The sequence below is a fragment of the Homo sapiens genome, chromosome 16, assembly GCF_000001405.40.
Source record: "Homo sapiens chromosome 16, GRCh38.p14 Primary Assembly".
In the NCBI taxonomy this organism is placed as follows: domain Eukaryota; kingdom Metazoa; phylum Chordata; class Mammalia; order Primates; family Hominidae; genus Homo; species Homo sapiens.
Window position 1 is genome coordinate 68,296,847 of NC_000016.10, and position 17,052 is coordinate 68,313,898.

Sequence of the window (17,052 nt, forward strand, 5' to 3'; positions counted from 1 at the left end):
ATGTGTGCATGCGCATGCAGAGGTGGGGGGTGGCTAACAGCTTCCCCATACTCAGAATTTGCTGGAGGCCATGTGACCCAGCTGTCCACGACTTCCCTTTTGATTTTGACATGATCACTTTAGTTCTAATTTTAGTGTCCTATTTTGGGGCTAAAACATTACCTCCTGACAACACAAATCACCTGGGAAGATGAGTTGTGCATCAGACTCTGGTTGGGCATGGGACAGAGGATGATGAGGCTTGTTGGGAGACAGGGGCAAAGCCTGATATAGGGTACTTAAGGGGCAGGTGGCGAGGGAGCCATAGATGTTACTAGTCAGCCTTGTTCAGGTTAGGGCTGTAGCTAGATGTTTACTAAACCCTGTGCTTGCTCTATTTTCATTTAGCTGCTATCACCAGAGGCACCCAGCAGCTTTGCTTTTGTGTCCTGACTGAGCTTGATGTAGCCGAAGAAAAAAAGGATGAGAGGAAAACTGACTAGAGGTCAGAGGTGGCTTTCTGAGGCCTGGAAGGCAGGCCAACCAGCAAAATCCTGATAACAAGACTCTGTGGGCCCAACTCTCCTGAATTAAAGGAGCCTTTTGACCCAATCATATAGTGGGGCTCAGGGCCAGTGCTCACTCTTATTGGTAAGCTATAGGAGACTCAGGATCTGGGCCAACCTCAAGGTGGGGGCTTCAGAGGGTGGGGGGAAGATTGGGGAACGGGGGGAATGGTCATTTAGTTTTACTCCTGATAGGTAGATGCAGCTCTTACAGATATTTACTTGGTAAAGTGCAGTGGGGAAGAGGGAATGCTAGGTTGATAGGGCTGGTGGCTTCTGAATTTGGTATTTGAACTAGGAGTCCCTATAGAGGGGCTGCTTTATGGGAAGTTTTTCTCTGACCAGGTACAACACCTGACTTTAAAGGCCTGAAATGCTACCATTTCTTCCTCTGGCTCAAAATTCTTCCCTGGGGAGAGAGTTATATTCCCTTATTTATTGATATTTAGTCCAGAACACCAGTTCTAACGAAGCATGCGTGTCTCTTCATCTACAGGATGCAATAGGCTGATTGTATTTAAAAATCAAAGTACCCAAAACTGAGTCCCTTTGGGCTCAGAAATGTCTGTGGTATTGGGTCAGACTCTGACCACAGGTTTTATGCTGTTTAGCACAATTTCTATTGAGTCTTACCTGCAACAATGAACCTTAAAGATTTTTTTACTCACGTACCTGTTACACTTTAGCATACAGATAGATCATAGATCACGTTACAAGCACTTGGCTCAGGTCCAGCAAGGACAGATGAACAAATTCCTGAGTCAGAAGTCTGTTAATATTGCTGTTTTGAAGGACAATCCTTTATTTTACTTGAGACCTTACATCTTTGTTCTAGCTGACAGTAAATCTCTGGGTTTCTGTTACGAACTCTAAGAGGGCTGAAACTTCTGATATTCAGGTGGATCACCTGAATTCTCTCAGCTGTCAATGGCTTGGAGAACATCTCATGGGCCCAAGTCATCAAATAACCTGTTCCTCTCTGTAAGGGCAGTGTGAGGGACTGCTGTGCAGACCCAAGCAATCCCAACCTGGTGCTAGGTCATTTCACTTTTCTGAAAACCTCACATCAGGCTGCATCCTCTTCTGTCCCTGGCACCAGGCTTTGTTTACACTTGGAGCCACCTTGGTGTGGGTCACCGGGACAGTGTACTCCTCTCCTGCCAGCCTCCCCTTCCCCGAGGTGTGGTGGCTGCAGTCTCAGGAAGAGCTTGGTACTTGTGGGGACTTCTGTTTTCTCCCTGTGGAGATCAGTGAAGACTGGGAGGAAAGCTGCTTCAACCTGAGTCCGGCTCTTCAGCAGGCTGCACAAGTGGAAGCAACTAATTCTGGTGCTCAGGCTGGGCTCTCCACCCAAGTTAGGCCTGCTCTGGCCTAATGGATCTTACTGTATGAGCAGGACGGCTGCATTGGATTGTACAACTGTTTTGTGATGCCCCCAGACACTGTCATCCTGGGCCGAGAAGAACCTGCTAGCTTGACATACCCCATGGGCTTATCCTTAGGTTTTGGAATTGGTCAACAGTGAGGCAGTCTCCCTTCCTGACCATTCTTCTCCACCCAGTCACAGATAAGGGAATAACCTTGGCCATATATTTGCTCAATAAAGATTGAAGGAAGCATGGTCATAGTTGCCCTGGGTTCAGAGCATAATGCATATGTGAAGCATGGGGTGACATTCCTACTGTCATGGGTTTGGGATTTGTAACGGCAAATTCCTGCCCGACGACAGGGTGTCTTATGCAAAGGCTGACTTGCCTGAACGCTAAGAACATGACTTCTGTCTGAGCTAAGCTGGCACCCATCCCAGGGCTCCTCTGGAGCTAATCCTTTAAGCAAAATGTGCTTGCCTTTTAAAGATCCCTGACCCCAGCTTTAGCTTTCTCCACCAGATAACCAGCTAATCCCAGGAATTTGCTGCCCCCCACCAGTGGCTTCTAGGGAAAGCAAGGACCTCACATGCCAGGTGCCCTAGTACTTGCTTAGTGAGCCATGTCATCCTCCTTTCATTTTTGGATGGTGACAGCATTTTTCCCCTCTGTGCTGGATACAGACTTCTCCCAGGATCCTCTCTTTGGGAGCGAAGCCAGAGGATCCCTACAGCACTCAAGCTTCATGGTGGAATTAATTTCTGCCAGCTCTTTGTTGTCTGTCTCCTTAAATCCTTTTCCTGGTGTGCTTATTATCCCTTTTGCAGTGAGTACAGTTTATTAAGTTGTCAGCCCTTTAATATTGGGGAAACTTAATGAGTATAAATAGCAGGGAGCACATTGTAACAGCACAGTGTTTTGTTTTTTTCACCCGGTTGCTGTATGAGAATGGCTTTCAATCCTTTGTTTCTATGCCTACAGACAGAAAGCAAGATGTCTAATATTAGACATACAAGTTGCTGCCTGTTATAACGGTGAATTATACCTTTGTGCATGCCTAGGATGTTTGTTGTTTTAATTAGCTGCAATATATACGGCCTGTGTACACAGAATTTAATCACTTCGGCAGGTTGAACAACTCCATGTAGATAAGAGCAAGTGTAGGCAAAGGTTTAGAAAATGGACATAAAGTCAAAGAATGATGGCAGGTAGGATGAAGGAGAGATACTTAGGAAATCCTAAAAGAGGCGGCAAGAAGGTACCTCCCTGTGTAACTCACCTTCCCCCATGACAGTGAGTAAGAGACACTCACAGGCTATGAGGGTACACCCCTAGCTGAATGTTCTGTGTTGTTTCCTTAGACCTGTGGTGTCCGCTGCAACAGCTACTAGCCACGTGTAGCTAATTACATTAAAATGAAATAAAATTAAAAGCTCAGTTTCTCAGTTGCGCTAATCACATTTCAAGTGCTCAGCAGCCACCCGTGTCTACTACTACACAGTGCAGACACAGAACATATCATCACTGCAGATAGTTCTACTGGACAATGTTACGCTAGAATAAACACCAAGGCAGTCAGTTAAGGCAGCTATGGTTTGGAAAGGCATACGGACAGAGTCTGCTTAGAAGAGATACAAGTTGTTAATAAAATTGATCCTGTTGATAGTAGTTTGTTTTTGTGGTGGGTGCTGTGAAGAGTAAACATTACTCAGTGGAAAGCTAAGTTCAGAAGGTACTTTGTTTTTCCTCCCTTGCCTTAAGTCCTTGGTATTTATAATCAATGCTGAACCTTCTATTTCACTACCGCTCCCTGTTTTAGATATTCAGATTTAAAAGGTTTTCAAAGAATTACTTTCTTCCATGTTCAAAGCTAGATTTTACTAAACACATGTATCACATTCATATATATTGTTTCTTGGCCCCACTGCCAAAGGAAGTCAGTCAGTAATTTCACAACCGTTATCAGAGTTTGGAAGCAGAAATAGCTGTTAACTAAAATCTCCCACTGCTCAGACTACTTTCTGCCCTAATGGCCATTACTATCCAGTCTGTATTGCTACAAGGGACCCACTGGTACCCCTTTTAGATTCTATCAAAAGGAACAGGGTTTTCCTAGAGGCAGGCAGCCTGGTGGTATGGCACAGCAGAAGCTTACTGCTAATGAAATGGGAACCTCCCCCTCCCTTGTGGTTTCAGCACAGAACCTGAATGCCAGGAAAAATTCCTGGGCCAAGAAGCTAAAGCTAAAGAAACCTTCCTTTTTTCAACGTTTTTTTTTCTTTCAAACTGTAGGGTCACTTTTGATTGAGGCAAAGGGGTCCTACTGTAAGTGGAAAAGACTCACTCCCCTAACATAAGTTTTCACTGTGGTGGGATGGTGCCGCCCGATATGCTTGATATGCTTTTCCTTCCACATGTTAAGCTAGGAAACCTAACAGGATGTCAGCAGGGCAGTTAACTCTGGACTCAGAGCCCTCAAGGGCATGTGGCAGAACCTCATGGACATCACAAGACCATCAGTCTGAATCCAGGTCGTGGGGGCTGTCATAGCCGAACTCCTTCTGCACATCCAGAGGGTACTTGCTCCACATCCGCTGTCTGCTGCTGCCTCTTTCCTCCTCACTCAGGCTGTTGTAGTCAGCAGAGCCTAGAATGACATCCCGGGAGTGGATTCTAAATGTGATTTTCCTAGGCTACTGCAGGAGCCCCTTCTCTTCTCAGAAAGGTCTGTTTTTGTTCCCGATTGTAATGCAAAATCCTTGCTCAATAAATAAAAAAGAATATAGAATTCTTTTTTTTTTAAAGAAGGAATCACTTTCCTATCATCTAAACCAAGTTCCTTCACACTGGAGTATTTTGTCACTTCTCCCCTCCGTGGAGTATTTTGTCACTTCTCCCCTCCGTATAGGATTTTTTGTTGTTGTAAGAGTTGTAGTCATATTGTAAATATTTTTGTACCTTTCTCCTTTTAACGTGTTATTGACAAACCTCCCCAAAAGAATATGCAATTGTTTGATTCATTTCTCTGTTATCAGACACCAATAAATTCTTTTTGTTGGGCCTTCTTCTCTCTTCTTTAATATAGTTACTACGGGAATTATGTTGTCAGAGCATCTTTCTTCTTCCCCCAGGTATTATGTCTGTGTTGCATCTTTCTCAAAACAGTTGTACATGCAGCAGTTTTTTGAGAAGTTAGATAACTGATTTGTGAAAACTCTGGGCTTATTCCTACTGGCAAACCTCTCTCTTCATTGGTTTCTTGACTGGGGCAGGGGAAGAGACAATGAGCTACATATTTTACATAATCTCAACCACTAAAATTCATGCAGAACCATCTCATTTGGAGAGAAAATGAGGCTCAGTGAGGTGAAGTAACTGCCCAAGAGCCACAGCAAAGTAATGACAACTACAGATTTGAATCCAGGCCTGATGGATTATTACACCCCCAGGAGGCCCCTGGGAAACACTGGTCTTTGGGTCTCCTACAGCATGGCTCAGTTGCGGCTGGGCTGCTGGCGCTCAATGACAGAGAAGGAAAGGCAATTAAGATGCACCTGTCAACTATGCCTGCACCTCAGTCTCAGATCCTACCAGTCCCTCCCGGTCTGGGGCTGCCACCCACCTCTGGAATCCTCATCTCCATCACTGCTCTCCTCCTCTGGGTACTCATTGCGCCAGTTATTCTCACTGTTCTCGTCATCTTCATCGTCGTAAATGTCCTCTGGTTCTTGATCATCATTCACCTACACATCTCAACACAAACATGAGTCCAAGTCAAAACCTCTAAGGTTATGCTCTGGGGGAAGTTGTTAGCATACCAGCTTGAAGAGATATCATGTAAAAGTGCCCTGTGAAAAAACTGCAGACTAGTAGTTTGACTCCATTGCACAAGAGGCTATGAGAGGGAGATAATAGCCCCCTTCCACTCAGAGCCCAGCTCCACAATGATAGGACATGCTGGACCCCATGAGAAGGGAACACAGGGAAAAGAGGAGTGATGGCTCTGAGCGATTCCTTCAAATTCCAAAGGTCAAAACCAAAACCCAAGCGTAAGAGGTGCGGAAAGGCAGGAGGAAGGGCCATGCAGTGGTCCAAGGTGGGTACCTGACTGCAAATCTGTCCTAATGCAGGTGCAGGATGCAGTGCTTCTTGATTATAGTCTGAGCATGACCATTAGGTGCCACCTTAAGTTTTCTTGTTAAGCATTTTAGAATTTGAGAATAGGCTGGGCGCGGTGGCTCACGCCTGTAATCCCAGCACTTTGGGAGGCCGAGGTGGGTGGATCACTTGAGGTCAGAAGTTTGAGACCAGCCTGGGCAACATGGTAAAACCTTGTCTCTACTAAAAATACAAAAATTAGCCAGGCATGGTGGCATGCACCTGTAGTCCCAGCTACTTGGGAGGCTGAGGCAGGAGAATCGCTTGAACCCAGGAGGCGGAGGTTGCAATGAGCCAAGATTGCACCATTGCACTCCAGCCTGGGTGACAGAGCGAGACTCCATCTCAAAAAAAAAAAAAAAAAAGATAATGGTGTCAGCTAGGTGTGGTGGCTCACACCTGTAATCCCAACACTTTGGGAGGCCAAGGTGGATCACTTGAGCCCAGGAGTTCAAGACCATAAGACCAGCCTGGACAACATAGTGAGACCCTGCCTCTACAAAAAAATCAACAAAAATTGGGCATCATGGTGCATGCCTGTACTCCTGGCTGGCTGCTTGGGAGGCTGAGATAGGAGGATTGCTTGAGCCTGGGAGATAGAGGCTGCAGTGAGCTCAGATAGCACCACTGCACTCCAGCCTGGGTGACAGTGTGAGACCTTGTCTCAAAAAAGAAAAAAAAAAAAGAATAATGTCAGGACGTTAGCTTTCTTCATCCGAGGTTTCTCTACTTCTAAGGTACGAATTAAAAAATAGATTTTGTTGTCACTCATGTTAAGAATTTCTGATTTTATCGTCTTTATCTTATCATAAGCCCCATATACATATTTCCCCCCTAAGAATGGATAGCTATAAACAATAAAGGTGATGTTGCAAACCTTGTAAAATATTCATTAATGTAAAAATGATCAATCTAAGATGATCTTTCCCCAAATTCCCTGTACTATAAAGTCAGGTTCCTAAAAGGCACTTAGAATAATTTCTTCCTTTTCAGGAGGAAAAGAACTAAGGACAATGTTGTTCGGGAGTGGAGCCCAGGGAAGCAAAGCATTCTGATTAGATTAAGAGCTTAGGATGCCTCATGCCCCGTCTGCTCATGGGCCCCCTTACCAGCTCCCATTCTTGGCTGTAGGGCTGCACGGAGAGGATGTTCTCAATCCAGCCTGGAGTGGCCGTCTCCAAGTAGTAAATGTCATACACATAGTCATCGTGTTTTTGTTCTTCCTGGCGCCTGACTCCTGGTCCATCCTCAGACACAGTCAATCGCTCACGGATCAACTCTACAGAATTGCAGAGGATCACATCTGGGTCAGATGTCTGTAAAGAAACCACAGATTACACACACACGCATGACCCAAAACATGATGTTCCAAGAGGAGGAACCTATGAGTTGGGTGAAGGAAGGCTCCCTACAGTTTTTTTTGAGACGGAGTCTCACTCTGTCGCCCAGGCTGGAGTGCAGTGGCGTGGTCTTGGCTCACTGCAACCTCCGCCTCCCAGGTTCAAGCGTTTCTCCTACCTCAGCCTCCCAAGTAGCTGGGACTACAGGTGCGTGCCACCATGCCTGGCTAATTTTTTGTATTCTTAGTAGAGATGGGGTTTCACTGTGTTAGCCAGGATGGTTTTGATCTCCTGACCTCAAGTAATCTGCCCGCCCCAGCCTCCCAAAGTGCTGGGATTACAGGTGTGAGCCACCTTGCTCAGCTACAGTTCCATAGTGTTGTGGTCAAGATTCTTATCCCCATGAATTCCTAGTCTTTTAATTAATTATTACATTAAAAAATCAAGAATCTCTGTAAAATTAATGTGTAGTTCTTACTTTAAGATAGAAACGTACAAGATAGGCTCCTGCTCTTTTGTGCTTGGCTCTCACACCTATAATCCCAATGCTTCGGGAAGCCAAGGTGGACAGCTTGCTTGAGCCCAGAAGCTCAAGACCAGCCTGGCCCACATGGCAAAACCCCCGTCTCTACAAAGAAATACAAAAATTAGCTGGGTGTGGTGGTGTGCACCTGTAGTCCCAGGTACTCAGGAGGTTGAGGCTGCAGTGAGCCGTGATCATGCCACTGTACTCTATCCTGGGTGACAGATTAAGACTTATCTCAAAACAATGAAAGAAAAAAAATATGGGAAGACTGGCCTAAGGAGAGGGGAAAGACAGAAGACCTGGCCAGTCTTGACCCCAAGCTCTGAGTCAGACCTGCTTCTATAGGTCTTCTGAGATCCTTTGGTATTATACAATGTTCTCTCTTTGGGGATCAGTAGGTCCACCGTAGCACCCCTATGGCTGAACCTGAAATGAGTCTCTATTTTGTGTGGCCTCCTGTAGAAGCCAACAGGTGTTTCCTGGTGACCTCTACCATTGCCCATCATTTGGCTTGCCATATATTGACATCCTACTTTTAACCACAAATTGGGAATGGGCTCACCTATAGTCTTTCTACTGGAAAGAACAGTTTGAAATGCAATGCCCCAGAATAGAAATGGCCCAGGTAAGATGTGCTCCAGTGCTGACAGGCTGTATTATCCAGGGGCCTGGTAGCATGGGTCAGTTTATTAACCACAGGGACATGCTGCAGATGGCTCCTCTTGATAGGTTCATCACAGGACACTGCACAGCTCCAAGCAGACACCACGCAGGAAAATGGGGAAGATCCCATGGCCAAGGCAGACAAGGGGAGACCAATGCTATAATTTACAGACTAAGGAATTCTTCCTTGCTCCAAAGTCAAAAAGAAGCTAGAGATGCCAGTTTTTCTGCAGAACCTTGAGCAAACTTAAAGTTACCTATGACAAAAGTTCTGGCTCCAACCCCTAAGTCCCTCCACTCAGTCAAATTATGCAGCCATTAAAATATAAGATTGCTGGGCACAGTGGCTCATGCCTGTAATCACAGCACTTTGGGAAGCCAAGGTCGGAGGAATGTTTGAGCCCAGGAGTTTGAGACCAGCCTGGGCAACATGGCAAAACCGTCTCTACAAAAAATACAAAAATTAGCTGGGTGTGGTAGCGCAGGCCTGTGGCTCCAGCTACTTGAGAGGCTGAGGCAGGAGGATCACATGAGCCCAGGTGGAGGCTGCACCGAGCCGTGATCATGCCACTGCACTCCAGCCTGGGCAACAGAGCGAGACGCTGTCTCAAAAAAAGGTACAAGACTAGCAATACAGAAAAATGACAGATACAGAATTTTGTACTCAGAAGGAAATAAACCAGTTCTATTCTACCTACTTTTGGGTTGATGGTAAAATGGGAGATTTTCCTCCTTTGCTATATTTTTTCAAATTTCCCATAATGAGCATAAATTATTTTTTTTCTTTTTTGAGATGGAGTTTCGCTCTTGTCACCCAGGCTTGAGTGCAATGGCGTGATCTCAGCTCACTGCAACCTCTGCCTCCCGGGTTCAAGTGATTCTCCTGCCTCAGCCTCCTGAGTAGCTGGGATTACAGGTACGCACCACCATGCCTGGCCAATTTTTGTATTTTTAGTAGAGACCGGGTTTCACTATGTTGGTCAGGCTGGTCTCAAACTCCTGACCTCATGATCCACCCACCTTGGCCTCCCAAAGTGCTGGCATCACAGGCATGAGCCACCGCGCCCGGCCTATTATTGCTTAAAGAGGCGGTTTTCATTATGTTGCCCAAACTGGCCTTGAACTCCTAGCCTTAGATGATCTTTCTGTTTCAACCTCCTGAGTAGCTGGGACTAAAGGTGTGCACCACTCCTCCTAGCTAGAAGAAAAATAATTATTATTATTTCTGTAGAGATGGAGTCTTGCTATGTTGTTCAGGATGGTCTTGAACTTCAGGCCTCAAGCAATCCTCCTGCCTTAGCCTCCCAAAGTGCTAGGATTATAGGAGTAACCCACCGTACCCTTGCTGAAAATTATTTTGAAGTCTATGTCCATGTGTATTCATTCATTCATTCATTCATTCATTCATTCACTCAGAATCAGGGTCTTGCTCTGTCGCCCAGGCTGGAGGGCAGCAGTATGATCATGGCTCACTGCAGTCTTTAACTCCCGGGCTCAAGTGCTCCTTTCTTGGCCTCCCAAAGTATTGGGATTACAGGTGTGAACTACTGAGCCCAGCCCATATTTTCAGTTTCACTACACACAGCATTTTGTACTGTTAAACATATATATTTTCGCCCACAATCAGTTTTCATGGTTATCAGTTCTAAGGGTCCAGACAGTTGTATGTGTCAACCTCTTGGATATAATTTTTAACCTCCATGTATAGTGTTGCAATGAATGTGCCATTTCCTGCATTTGAAAAGTATCTCACTCATAAGGTTTTTGTGAGGATTAAATGAGTTAAATTAAAAGAAAATATAACAAGTACCTAGCACGCTATTTGACATAATTACTTAGTCAATCAACAGTAGCATTTGTTAATATCATAGCTTAGCTTAGCTGTTTGCTTCTGCTGAATTATCTCCCTAGGATAAATCTTGGAGGTGAGACTACTAGTTAAAAGGAACTGAAGTCCTTTAATTTTTAAATTTCCTATTAAATTTATCTAATAGGAATTTATTTGCTTAAAATGTAAATTGTGTCAATTTAAGGAGAAATTCATTGTAACATAACATAGAAATGCTGTCATTTTTAAATTTCCTTAGAAATTTTTAATTTTAAAATTTTCCTAGATTATGCATGGCTTTAGATCCAAACAATAATAAATTTACATATGTAAAACATGGCTCCCATGCCATCCTGTTTTCCAAAAGGCTTGCATCAATTTTATTCCTACAATTGTGTACGCTTTTAATCATTGCCTTGCCAGCATTGCTATCAACTACTTTTTTCCTGCTAGTCTAGTATGCATAAAACCTCAAGCATGCTTTAAGCTTAAATTCATTTTTCCCCTATAATTACTCTGTGCAAACATTTTTGGTATGTTTAGAGTCGGTATTGCTTTACTGGAAAAATCTCTGTTCATATCGGTCATCAGTTTATCTCCTAGTTTTCTTTATAAAATTAAATTAGCTATTTACTCTTGTTTTTTGAGATGGAGTTTTGCTCTTCTCGCCCAGGCTGGAGTGCAGTGGTGCAATCTTGGCTCACTGCAACCTCTGCCTCCCGCGTTCAGGCGATTCTCCTGCCTCAACCTCCCGAGTAGATGGGATTACAGGCGCCCGCCACCACGCCCGGCTAATTTTTGTATTTTTAGTAGAAATGGGGTTTTGCCATATTGGCCAGGCTGGTCTTGAACTCCTGACCTCAAGTGATCCACCCGCCTCAGCCTCCCAAAGTGCTGGGATTACAGGCATGAGCCACTGTGCCCGGCCTAGTGAACTATTTACTTGATTCAATTCCACGGAGCATTGGTTTACTTTACACATTTTGTAAGTCATGCATTAGTCTGGAATGTTTTGGTGAAAGATGTGGCTATGGACATCATACACAAATTGCTATCCACTTACACTAGCACCAGCTGGACGTGGTGGCTCACGCCTGTAATCCCAGCACTTTGGGAGGCCGATGCGGGTGGATCACCTGAGGTCAGGAGTTCAAGACCAGCCTGGCCAAGGTGGCGAAACCCCGTCTCTACTAAAAATACAAAATTAGCCGGGTGTGGTGGCTCATGCCTGTAATCCCAGCTACTCGCGAGGCTGAGGCATGAGAACTGCTTGAATCCAGGAGGCAGAGGCTGCGGTGAGCCGAGATCGCGCCACTGCACTACAGCCTGGGCGACAAGGGCGAGACTCCATCTCAAACAAAACAAAAACAACAATAAACAATTACACTAGTACCATTTGCTTGTTGCTTGTGGATTCATTTTGAATTATAATTGTTTTAAGTTGCAAAAATAATTAAAATGAGTTCTATAAAAATGTTTATCAAGAGAGGGCATATTGGCTAGGCGCAGCGGCTCATGCCTGTAATCCCAGCACTTTGGGAGGTTGAGGCGGGCGGATCACTGAGGCCAGGAGTTCAAAACCAGACTGGCCAACATAGCGAAACCCCGTCTCTACTAAAAATACAAAAATTAGCTGGGTGTGGTGGCTCACGCTTGTAATCCCAGCTATTTGGGAGGCTGAGGTAGGAGAATTGCTTGAACCCGGGAGTTGGAGGTTGCAGTGAGCCAGCATCATGCCAATGCACTCTAGCCTGGGCAACAGAGTGAGACTCTGACTCAAAAAAAAAAAAAAAAAGAGAGGGCACACTTTATGTTGAGAATTTTCTGGTTTTTTTTTTAGAGACAGTATCTTGCTCTGTTGCTCAAACCAGAGGGCAGTGACTTGATCACAGCTCACTGCAATCTCTAATTCCTGAGTTTAAGTGATCCTCCTGCCCCAGCCTCCCCAGTAGCTAGGACTACAAGCGCGTGCCACAATGCCCAGCTAATTTCCTCTTCCTTTTTGTAGTGACAAGGTCTTGCTTTGTTGCCCAGGCTGGCCTCAAGCGACCCTCCTGCCTCAGCCTCCCAAAGCGCTGGGATTACAGGGAGTATTTTATTTTTTTTTGAGACAGGGTCTCACTCTGTCACCTAGGCTGAAATGCCACTGCCGCACAATCATGGCTCACTGTAGCCTTGACCTCCCCAGGCTCAAGTGATCCTCCCGCCTGGGCCTCCCTACGTGCTAGGATTAGGCGTCAGCTACTGTGCCCAGCCTCAAGGAGAATTTTCCATTTCTGTAGTTTTGCTGCATGTAGTAGACTTTTTTTGGAAGTGATTGCAAATGAAGTTAGCAAATGTAATATAAAGAAAAGCACTGGATTAAATGTGAGAAAACTTGCATTCTAGACCTAAATCTACCTCAAACTTGATATGCTATCCAGGACTATTCCTTTAACCTCTCTTTGATCAATTTTCCTACCTGCTCTATCTCTATTTTGCTCCAGTGATCCCCATCTCAGTCAGGGTGAAAGGCAATGTCCTTGCAAGTACCTAGCAGGCATCCTCCCCTCAAATTCCTTACTGCTCTCCTCTAGCTCACCGGGCTCCAGGCACCTTGCAAGGAGCAAAGAAACGGCTTAAGGGCCTCTTTACTTTCAGGTTCTCTGCCTAGAAGTCCTCTCGATATGTGGAATACCCTGCCATTCACCTTCTGCAAGTCTTCACTCAAATGTCATTTCCTCAGTGACACTCTCACTGAAGTGGCACCACTCTTCCTGCTTTGTCTCCCCGCCTCCTTACATCCCTTATCATCATCTGACACTGAATAGACTTGTTTACTGTTTCTGTCTACCTGCATGTTAGGTCCTCACTGCTGTATCCACAGAATCTAAAAAAATACCTGGCATATCGTAGGCACGTAGTAAACACATGTTGGATGAACAACCAAATCTGTAAAATGAGGCCGTCACGCCGGATGGATCATCCATCCCCTTAAGATGAAACTGTGCTGCGACTGGGCCCAGTCTTCTTGCATTACCATCCTGAGAAGCCCAGCGACCACCTTCAGGGGCATACTCACTTTGCAGGAGCCTGCAGAGGCGGCTTCAGGTTCTCCCTCCTCGTGGACAAGGTCTAACAACTGAAAGCCCGAGTTCCCGGCGGCTTCTGGGTTCCCCGGCGTGTACTCGGACTCCTGGCCGCTCGAGGTGGTCCCCAAGGATCGGCGGCTGGAAAGCACCCGGTAGCGGCCCTCCTGCCGGACCTCCCGAGCCGAGGCGCGGAGATTACGGCGGACACGCTGCTGGCTGTCCCGTGACGGGCGCAGAACTTCCCGCAGGAGAGGCTGGACTGGTTCCTCCTAGGGGGCAACAGGGGACGGAGGCCAGCGTAAGCAGGAGTTCGCGAGCGGGTCAGGGATCGGGTTTCGTACCGGCTGCACCCGAAGATGCCCTCCACACCAGCTGCACCACGCCCAATACCTGGGAGCACACAGTGGCCACCAAGTGGAAGACATTATTCTCCGCCGCTCTCTCCAAACCCTCCGACGTCTTCTGTGCCGCTGACTCGACCGCGTCGCTCCGGAGGCGTTTACAAGCGAGCACAAGAGCCTCCGCCGGCTCCGCACTGCGCTTCCGCTTCACCCGGAGTACAGCGGTCCTGGCGGCCTCCATAGTGGCTGCCGCTGAGCACTGTGGGAGCTCGCGGGGTGTGATGGGATAGCTTTCCAGTTCTGCTTTAGGACCCGCCCCCCAGCACGCTCCTCGACGCTGCGAGGTCCCGCCCCGCGTGCTGGCCGCGGTAAAAGTGGTAGCAGCGGAGGCGAGCGGAGGGTTTCCCGCGGCGGGTGAGGCGCTGGGTATGCTGGGAAGGTGGGGTCGCTTTGGGGTTCTGTGTGCAGCGAGCATGGTGTCCTTGGCACCAGGGTTTCGGCAGAGGAGCCTAGCGTGGGCCTACTTGGACTCCTCCGCGTGGGGCAGCTCGGGACACCCGGGCCTGCAGGAGAGCGGGGTTCTAGGCTGGCCCCGGCTCTGCAGTGCAGCCGGGTGCCTGCCACTCGCGGGGCTCTGTCGCAGTACTCGTGCCTGGCGCCTCCCCTCAGCCACAGAGACCGCAGTAGCTCCAACCATCGCACCCCTAACTGGGCCACGAGTTCTCTGATTGCCAGACCTGTTGTCTTTGCCACTCACTGTTCTGAGTAATTGGAGAGTCGTGTATTCACTACACGCCAACCAGAGTGGTCCTGTAAAAGCGTAAGCCTAGTGTAGATACGCTTCTGCTTAAAACTCTTGAGTGGCTCCCAGTGCTTTTAGAACAAAATCCAAACGCCTTTCCGAAGTCGACAAGGCCCAGCTTGATTGAGCAGAAGATGTGATAGGAGATGAGGAGCGGGGGGCTTCTGCAAAAGTGCTTCGGTCGCTCAGGCTTTTGGCACATTTTGCTTATGCAACCTAGTTCTTTCTACCTTAGGGCCTTTTCTTGGGAAAGTTGGGGTAAGGATTCCTGACCTGTAAAAACTCTTCCCCAACTTTTATCCCGGTCTGTCTTGTAGATCTCAAATGCTAGTTTCCTCAGAGTCCTTCTGTAACCTTGGTTTTCTCTTTCTACAACGCTCTGTGTATTTCTTGCATTCATGTAGTCTGTAATTTGTATTACTCTCTCATTAGAGTCTAAGCTCTTGGAGGGCAAGGGTCTTCTCTAGCTTGTGGTGGTGGCTCCAGTCCCTAATATAGTGCCTGGCACATAGAAGGTATTTAATAAATTTTGTTATTTTATTTTTTCGAGACAGAGTCTCACTCTGCTGCCTAGGCTGAGTGCAGTGGTGTGATCGAGGCGCACTGCAGCCTTGACCTCCTGGGCTCAAGCGATCCTCACCTCGGCCTACCGAGTAGCTGGGACTACAGGCACGCGCCACTACACTCGGGTAATTTTTAATTTTAATATATGTATATTTATATATATATATATATATATATATTTTTTTTTTTAAGACAGGGTCTCACTCTGTCACCCAGGCTGGAGTTCAGTGGCGCCATCTCTGCTCACTGCAACCTCTGCCTCCCGGGCTCAAGTGATTCCCCTACCTCAGCCTCCCGAGTAGCTGGGAGTAACTGGGACTACAGGCACAGGCCACCGCGCCCGGCTAATTTTTTTAAAAATTTTTTGTAGAGAACGGGGTCTCACTATGTTGCGCAGGCTGGTCTGGAACTCCCAGACTCGATATCCTTGCGTCTCGGCCCCTCACAGTGCTGGGATCACAGGTGTGAGCCACCACCGCCTAGCAAATACATTTTGAATGAATGTAGTGGACCATCTGCTCTGCAGTCTGACGGCTAATACAATTAGGGCTTGGCATGGTGGTTTCTATTTCCTCCTTGTAAATGGCCATGCAAGTTTACAACTCTTGGAGAATGAGGAGGGGTTCAGAGAATATCTCCTGAATCTGTAGTGTAGACTGCTTCTGGGAGAGAACAAATAATAATGGATGAGGGCATTCAGCCAGAGAAGGTGTGTAGTGCCCACCAGAAGAGGTTCATGCCTTCATAAAATTGTTAACACAAGACATAGTTCCAGGTTTGTTTGTTTGTTTGAGATACAGTCTTGCTCTGTTGCCCAGGCTGGAGTGCAGTGGCGCGATCTTGGCTCACTGCAACCTCTGCCTCCCAGGTTCAAGCAATTCTCCTGCCTCAGCCTCCCAAGTAGCAGGGATTACAGGCACCTGCCACCATGCTGGCTAATTTTTTGTATTTTTAGTAGAGACGGGGTTTCGCCATGTTGGCCAGGCTGGTCTCGAACTCCTGACCTCAGGTGATCCACCTGCTTTGGTCTCCCAAAGTGCTGGGATTATAGGCGTGAGTCACCGTGCCTGGGCTGTTCCAGGTTTTGAAAAGACACTGTGGTCCTGGTTTTAGACTCAGCAACATCACAGACAAGAAAGGAATCCTATGGATTAAAGTTCTTCACTATAAGTTTTTTTTTTCCTCCAGTTCAAATGGGTAACGTGCCAATGTAGTAAAGGTTTGAGGGAGGCACGTCTGACACAGGCACATGAACACCCAGTCATCACGCTTATGAACTACAAAACGATGACTCTTAACCTTGAAGTGACTTCAGAATTGATTCCACATGGACCACAGGATTAGTATTTCAGGACTCTACCATATGGATCCTATTGATATGTTTGACACCTGGTCCAGTTTTACTTCACTAAACTGATTGATATAATGTGCATGATTGTCTAAGCCTTTCTAATTGGATGAAATGCCTTCTCCGTCCACAACCCCCTCCTTCTCCTCCTGCCTCAGCTGAATCCACCTTTTAAGCCTTCCTTGAACATTCAGTCAGATATGGCCATTTCTTTCTCTACTCCAACATTTGTTGGACACAGTTTTCTAATGCACATTACAGATTCTGACAGTTCTAGATATTCTGTCTGTAAAATAAATGTTAGTACATGAGATAAAGTGGATTATAGCAATGTTGTTAAACTGCTGGTTGCAACCCATTGATGGGTCCTGACCAGCAAGTAAAAGTGCAGCTGGGTGCCGTGGTGCATGCCGGTAGTCTAGCTACTTGGGAGGCTGACGTAGGAGGATCGCTTGAGTCCAGGAGTTTAAGGCTGTAGAGTGTAATGATCATGCCTGTG

The 17,052-nt window shown here is 46.6% G+C and overlaps 3 protein-coding genes and 1 non-coding gene across 66 annotated transcripts in view, besides 2 other annotated features; 2 read left to right on the forward strand and 2 right to left on the reverse strand.

Moving 5' to 3' along the window:
- Nucleotides 1–4,973, forward strand: part of SLC7A6 (solute carrier family 7 member 6) — a 37,294-nt gene extending 32,321 nt beyond the window's left edge. For both annotated transcript variants that reach the window (NM_001076785.3, NM_003983.6), the window contains one exon: nucleotides 388–4,973. In NM_001076785.3, coding sequence (NP_001070253.1) covers nucleotides 388–482 — 95 coding nt within the window. In that variant the 3' untranslated portion in view covers nucleotides 483–4,973. The remainder of the gene's footprint in view (nucleotides 1–387) is intronic.
- Nucleotides 1,140–1,434: a silencer, noted in NCBI's record as "tiled region #7703; HepG2 Repressive non-DNase unmatched - State 14:Gen5'". NCBI's record gives its function as "represses a minimal TATA promoter and a strong SV40 promoter by Sharpr-MPRA in HepG2 cells {active_cell/tissue: HepG2}" and the evidence as "EXISTENCE:reporter gene assay evidence [ECO:0000049][PMID:27701403]".
- SLC7A6OS (solute carrier family 7 member 6 opposite strand) lies at nucleotides 1,188–14,100 on the reverse strand. 2 transcript variants are annotated; one of them, NM_032178.3, is made up of 5 exons: nucleotides 13,889–14,100; nucleotides 13,489–13,767; nucleotides 7,180–7,386; nucleotides 5,535–5,655; nucleotides 1,188–4,559 (listed from the first exon to the last, which is right to left on the reverse strand). In NM_032178.3, the coding sequence occupies exons 1-5, from the start codon at nucleotides 14,078–14,080 to the stop codon at nucleotides 4,429–4,431; spliced, it is 930 nt and encodes a 309-aa protein (NP_115554.2). In that variant the 5' UTR covers nucleotides 14,081–14,100; the 3' UTR covers nucleotides 1,188–4,428. The 2 variants fall into 2 exon arrangements, with proteins under 2 accessions (NP_115554.2, XP_011521674.1); XM_011523372.4 differs by lacking the exon at nucleotides 1,188–4,559 and having other exon boundaries at nucleotides 5,531–5,663.
- Nucleotides 13,105–14,069: an enhancer, noted in NCBI's record as "H3K27ac hESC enhancer chr16:68343854-68344818 (GRCh37/hg19 assembly coordinates)". NCBI's record gives its function as "activates a minimal SCP1, AML or CMV promoter by ChIP-STARR-seq in primed H9 embryonic stem cells {active_cell/tissue: H9 hESC(primed)}" and the evidence as "EXISTENCE:reporter gene assay evidence [ECO:0000049][PMID:30033119]".
- PRMT7 (protein arginine methyltransferase 7) overlaps nucleotides 14,173–17,052 on the forward strand; it is a 49,852-nt gene continuing 46,972 nt past the window's right edge. For 26 of the 61 annotated variants that reach the window (NR_165365.1, NR_147057.3, NR_147058.3 and 23 more), the window contains exons 1-2: nucleotides 14,173–14,253; nucleotides 15,196–15,330. The gene's annotated coding sequence lies outside the window, so the exon portion shown is untranslated. The other 35 variants (NR_165366.1, NR_165367.1, NR_147056.3 and 32 more) reach the window with 4 other exon arrangements.
- Nucleotides 16,393–16,494, reverse strand: LOC124903789 (small nucleolar RNA U13). Its single transcript, XR_007065234.1, has one exon. It is a non-coding gene; the product is annotated as a small nucleolar RNA U13 (small nucleolar RNA).

What these genes read in the sequence shown, in the direction of transcription:
- SLC7A6OS (NM_032178.3), bottom strand. Translation starts at nt 14,080, where the DNA reads ATGGAGGCCGCCAGGACCGCTGTACTCCGGGTGAAGCGGAAGCGCAGT. An exon ending in CCTCTGCAGGCTCCTGCAAA is followed by an intron (nt 7,387 to 13,488) that starts GTGAGTATGCCC and finishes GTTTCTTTACAG; the next exon opens with ACATCTGACCCAGATGTGAT. An exon ending in TGGAGATGAGGATTCCAGAG is followed by an intron (nt 4,560 to 5,534) that starts GTGGGTGGCAGC and finishes ATGTCATTCTAG; the next exon opens with GCTCTGCTGACTACAACAGC.